At 50.8% G+C, this 5613-nt stretch overlaps 1 pseudogene, besides 1 other annotated feature; it reads right to left on the bottom strand.

The window, feature by feature from the left end:
- Positions 2149–3128: an enhancer, noted in NCBI's record as "H3K4me1 hESC enhancer chr16:86560664-86561643 (GRCh37/hg19 assembly coordinates)". NCBI's record gives its function as "activates a minimal SCP1, AML or CMV promoter by ChIP-STARR-seq in naive H9 embryonic stem cells {active_cell/tissue: H9 hESC(naive)}" and the evidence as "EXISTENCE:reporter gene assay evidence [ECO:0000049][PMID:30033119]".
- On the bottom strand, positions 3871–4751 carry RPL7AP63 (ribosomal protein L7a pseudogene 63; annotated as a pseudogene).

Genomic DNA, 5613 nt, shown 5'->3' with positions numbered 1-5613 from the left:
TCAGCCTGCACACCTTTCACTGCCCTGTCCTTCCCAGGGAGGCCTGTGGGGACAGTTCCCAAGGAGCGTGGTGAGCAGGCAGCAGTGAGGCAGGTGCTCAACAACCCAACTTCTTGTTCCCACGGCTCAGCATCGGGATTGTGTCACTCACACGTGATAAGGGGAGAATGGAAGACAACCACTTGACAACTGCTGAGACCATCCCTCTTATTTTTATATCTGTTATTATTATTTTTTGAGACAGGGTCTTACTCTGTCACCCAGGCTGGAGTGCAGTGGTGTGATCACAGCTCACTGCAGCCTTGAACCCCCAGGCTCGAGCCATCCTCCCTCCTCAGCCTCCACGTAGCTAGGACGACAGGTGTGCACCACCATGCCCAGCTAATATTTTTTAGTAGAGATAGGGTCTCCCTATGTTGCCCAGGCTGGTCTCAAACGTCTGGCCTCAAGCAATCCTCCCACCTTGGCCTCCGAAAGTGCCGGGATTACAGGCATGAGTCACTGTACCTGGCCTGTACCCTTCTTTCTGAGACAATCTCACTCTTGCCCAGGGTGGAGCGCAGGGGTGCAAACTCAGCTCACTGCAACCTCCACCTCCTGGATTCAAGCTATTCTCTTGTCTCAGCCTCCTGAGTAGCTGGGACTACAGGTGCGCACCACCACGCCTGGCCAATTTTTTTTTTTTAAGTAGAGATGGAGTTTCATCATGTTGGCCAGGCTGCTCTCCAACTCCTGACCTCAAGTGATCTGCCTGCCCTGGCCTCCCAAAGTGCTGGAATTACAGGCATGAGTCACTGTACCCGGCCTGTACCCTTTTAAATGAAGCCGTCGTGATTCATGGGTCCTATCTTGGTATCTTCCTAAATGGTGGCGTGGTTTTGCCAGTGGATGAGAAAGACTTGTGCAGAATCTGCAGCTGCAGTTTCCAGAACACATACCTTTGGCTCTGCAACAGTGAGCGCTGGACTCTGGAGCCCAGTAGCCCAGCTCTCACTGCGGGGTGTGGTCCTAGGTGGGTGCTGTGGGCAGGTCACCTACCTGTGCAGGTTTTGGCTTAAGGGGTTGAACTCCTTGGTTTCTAAAGTTCTTACCAGTTCTAATATTCTGAGTTTATTTTGAGACTAACTAGTCCCCATCCCTTAGGTTTTTTGGTTGTCTAATTCCTTCTAGAAATTTTAGAATATGAGAAGGATAAAGAAGGAGCACCACTTGGGCAACCTTGACATTGCCCCTTATTTATTTCCAGGCTTTCTTCTCTGCAGTTTTGAAACATAGCCACGATTAACAACAGGAGCTTCGGAAGCCAGCAGACGTGGCTTTCAGCGTCAGTGCTGCCGCCGTGTGGTGCGGTGGGTGTGCGGTGGCAGCTGCTTCATCCCTCTGAGCCTCCCATTGCTCATCTGTAAGGGGGTGCGGTAGGAGCACACACTGCGGGTTGTGTGAACGTTAGCCGAAACGATGTGCCTGAGGTGCACGGTCACAGCTCAGCGGTGCGCCCGCTGCTGAGGCCAGTCGGCCTGGCCGCCCCAGACCCACTGATTGCCCCCCAGACGGAGGACTTCACTCTCCAAAGGGGTGAGACTGAGGACTCAGCCAGAGGTCCTGCCTGGTGCCCTTGTGTCAAGAGTGGACCCTGGGGCAGAAGTGGTGGTGATGGCCCTGGAGCCATTTCCCAGGTGACAGGGCTGACACGGGAGCCGAGCCCTGGGGAACGTGGGCTGAGAAGCTGGAGCACTGGGCGAGCTCTAGGAGGCTCCTTTGGGCACAGCAGGTGGGAAACGCAGGAAGGAGCCTCCGTTCCTGCTCCAGGAGGGAGGTCAGGTGTCATCTGGCCCCAGCTCACTGGCTTCACCCAAACAGGTGGAGGCGTGTGTGACCTGAGTTCCCCATCTGGGTGAGCCTGGCCACACCCCTCCCCAGCCCTCAGATGGCCGGTCACTGAACTGGAAACGGGCCCCTCCGGGTTGAGCTCTGAAAGCCTGCACCACACGCAAGTCGGAACGCGAGACCTAGGAAGCACCCGTGGGCCTCGTTCCTGGGCAAATATGAAATCGATACAATTGAATAAATAGAAAACAGATCAACATGGGGCCTTTGAGAGACTCAAAGTGAAGGAACTACATCGTGAAAAAGCTTCACTGCAGGAATCGAGAAAATCTCAGGCATCATCCGCTCCTTACTCCTGAGACATGTGAGACGGTTTTCCATGAAAAAAAGTTGTGTTGATGAAGTGTCCTCGAAACTTTATTTAAAAAAAGGTTTTTTAAAAAGGAAAATGTGTCATTTTTTGCTCGTGTCTGCTCTGATCTTAAAATACACAGGAAAACATGAGCTCTAAAAATAGAAGTCCTGTGAGGTGGGTGAGGATCCTAAACAGAGCCTGCAGACAGCAGAAATAAAAAGCTCAGCAGGAGGGGTGGTGATGTTTTTAAAAATACAAATGCATACTCACAACATCAACATTTGTATTAGAAGACGTGATGTGTAGGGAGAAAGAAAATCTGTGAGCAGTAAGACGAGAGTTCTGGAGACCAGGCGGTGGCAAGCCACAGCCAAGCCCGGTGTGGAAGGCAAGACCGCACCAGCATTCAGAAACACGACAGGAGGACGTCCCTGGGCTGCGGAGGCAGCATCTGAGCCAGGGCTTCTCCACACACCTGTGGCAGGAGTCTGGGCCTCGTCTACAGATACGAGCAGGCAACAAGGAGCTGCCGAACATCAGCATCTTGAGACACGTGCTAGCCGTGGTGGACATGTTCATACAGGAGTCACAAAGGGACTCGGAGGCCATCGTTTCCATTAAAAAGGGAATAGACTGGTAAGAAAAAACTCCTTAGAAATTGAAAGCACAGGCCAGGCGTGGTGACTCACACCTGTAATCCCAGCACTTTGGGAGGCCGAGGTGGATGGATCACTTGAGGTCAGGAGTTCAAGACCAGACTGGCCAACATGGTGGAACCCTGTCTCTACTAAAAATACAAAAATTAGCCAGGCATGTTGGCGCATGCCTGTAATCCCAGCTACTCGGGAGGCTGAGGCCCAAGAATTGCTTGAACCCGGGAGGCAGAGGTTGCAGTGAGCCAAGATCACACCACTGCACTCCAGCCTGGGCAATAGAGTGAGACTCAGAAAAAAAAAAAAAAGTTGAAATCACAAAATACAGAGACTTAGTAGTGGGCTGAAGGCACAATGACACAGACACAGAGTGCAGAGATGGAGCCACGTGATTCTTCCCCACAGCCGTGCAAAATGGGATAGGGGTGGAAAAAGCATGAAATGGAAACAGTCAACAGTAAAACTTTGCACCAGCTAAAGAAAGATGTGACTTCACAGTGAAAAGGTGTGGAGGGCCAGAGCAAGTCACACGCAGTTCCACGACTCACTAGCAGACGTTTAAGCCAATAACAACAAAAACTCATATGGATAAAATGGTCTCATATGCATAAAATGGTCACACTTTCCTGAGAGAAAGGAAAGATCTGAATCAAGAAACACGTTGTGTTCCAGAGGGAAGGGTTTGGTACTGGAAAGATGCTACTTCTCCCTACGCGAAGGCATTCCATACCGAACAGCAAAATCTCACCAGGCATTGCTCATGGAAATTGACAAGGTGGACAGGAAATACTCAAGAACAGTCCCAGGTAAGGAAAAGGGATTGGCCTCTGGATGCAGGTCTGATGATGGAGCTTCCCGCCTGCAAGCAGCAGAGTGTCTGCAGATCAGGAGAACGGAAGACAGGGTCTCCAAGCAGGTGGGAACCTGGGACATGACAGTGATTTCAAATGGGGGAAGGATTTGCCTCTTCAGAGATAGACTCAGAGCTACTGGCTGTTGTTTTGAAGGATGAAAAAAGCAACTTGTATTTTTTTTTGAAGGAAAATTTGTATTATTTTAATTATTTTTATGTACGGAAAACTCAACAGTGTACATATAACCCAGTTTAGTGGCAAGTTCTTTAGCCTTTGCCTTTTTGCGTTTGGCAATGTGAGCCACAGACTTGGGACCCAGGACATTGCTGCCCCGGTGACGGCGGATCTCATCATATCTGTCATTATAATCGGTCCTGATAGCTGCTACCAGCTTAGCCAAAGCACCTTTGTCTTCCGAGTTCACCTGTGTGAAGGCGACAGTCGTACAGATCTCCCTGTGGACTAGACGGCCCAGTCTTGCCTTCCCCTTGATAATGCAGTAAGGGACTCCCATTTTACGACACAAGGCAGGCAGGAAGACAACTGGCTCAATGGGCTCCACGTCGTGTGCAATCAGCACCAGCTGAGCTTTCTTGTTCTCCACCGAGGTGGTGACACTGTTAACTCCTGCTCAAAGGACAGGTGGTCTCTTAGTGGGGACGTCCCCTTTGCTGGTAGCTTTCTTCTCGGCCCGGGCCAACAGCCTCTGCTTCTTCTCTTGCTTTGTCTCTGGTCTGTACTTGTGGGCCAGCCTAAGCAGCTGAGGAGCTATTTGGTGGTCCGGGGCCTGGGTGAACTGGTTAATGGCAGGAGGCACTTTCAGCTGCTTATAGAGGATGGCTCTCTGCCACTGCAACCTGATATAACGGGGCCATTTCACAAAGCAGGTGAGGTCCCTTTTGGGCTGGATGTCCTGTCCAATACCAAAATCCTTAGGCCTTTTCTCAAACGGGATTCACCACTTTCTTGGCCTCCTGCTTCTTCACGACAGCAGGGGCTGGAGCCACCTTCTTCCCCTTAGCCTTCTTTCCTTTCAGCATCTTGGGCAGTGGGAGGAGAGAGTGCAACTTGGATTTCTAAATTGTGCCACACATAAAAATAAATCCCAGGCCAATTCAATATTCAAACAGAAAATATAAGAGGCAGCCGGGCACAGTGGCTCATGCCTGTAATCTCAGCACTTTGGGAGGCCAAGGCAGGCGGATCACGAGGTCAGGAGTTCAGGACCAGCCTGGCCAACATGGTGAAACCCATCTCTACTAAAAATACAAAAATTAGCCAGGCATGGTGGCGGGCACCTGTAATCCCAGCTACTCGGAGGCTAAGGCAGGAGAATCGCTTGAACCCGGGAGGGGGAGGTTGCAGTGAGTGGAGACCACACCATTGCTTTGGAGAGAAGTAGGAGAGAAGGCTTTATAATGTTGGGATAGGAAAGGGCTTCATAAGCAAGACCTTGAATTTCAAGAGGAATCTATTCCTTTGTCCCCCTTAGAAAATCAGATTTTGACTGGTGCAGAAACCAAATGAACCCACCAAGATGAATTATCTGAAGAAGACTTCTCCAAGCCGCAGAATTAACCAGGCCAGGTTATATAGTTATTCCATGTCAGCCTTTTTTTGGTTTTTGAGACGGAGTCTCGCTCTGTCACTCAAGCTGGAGTGCAGTGGCACAATCTCTGCTCACTGCAACCTCCGCCTCCCGGGTTCAAGTGATTCCCCTGCCTCAGCCTCCCGAGTAGTTGGGATTACAGGTGCATGCCACCATGCCTGGCTCATTTTTGTATTTTTATTAGAGACGAGGTTTCACCATGTTAGCCAGGCTGGTCTCGAACTCCTGACCTCAAGTGATAAACCTGCCTCAGCCTCCCAAAGTGCGGGGATTACAGGCATAAACCAATGCGGCCAGCCCCATGTCAGCCTTTCT

The sequence above is a fragment of the Homo sapiens genome, chromosome 16 (assembly GCF_000001405.40).
Source record: "Homo sapiens chromosome 16, GRCh38.p14 Primary Assembly".
Classification (NCBI taxonomy): domain Eukaryota; kingdom Metazoa; phylum Chordata; class Mammalia; order Primates; family Hominidae; genus Homo; species Homo sapiens.
Note: the sequence above shows the minus strand (reverse complement) of the source record. Positions and strands in the feature narration are given on the sequence as shown.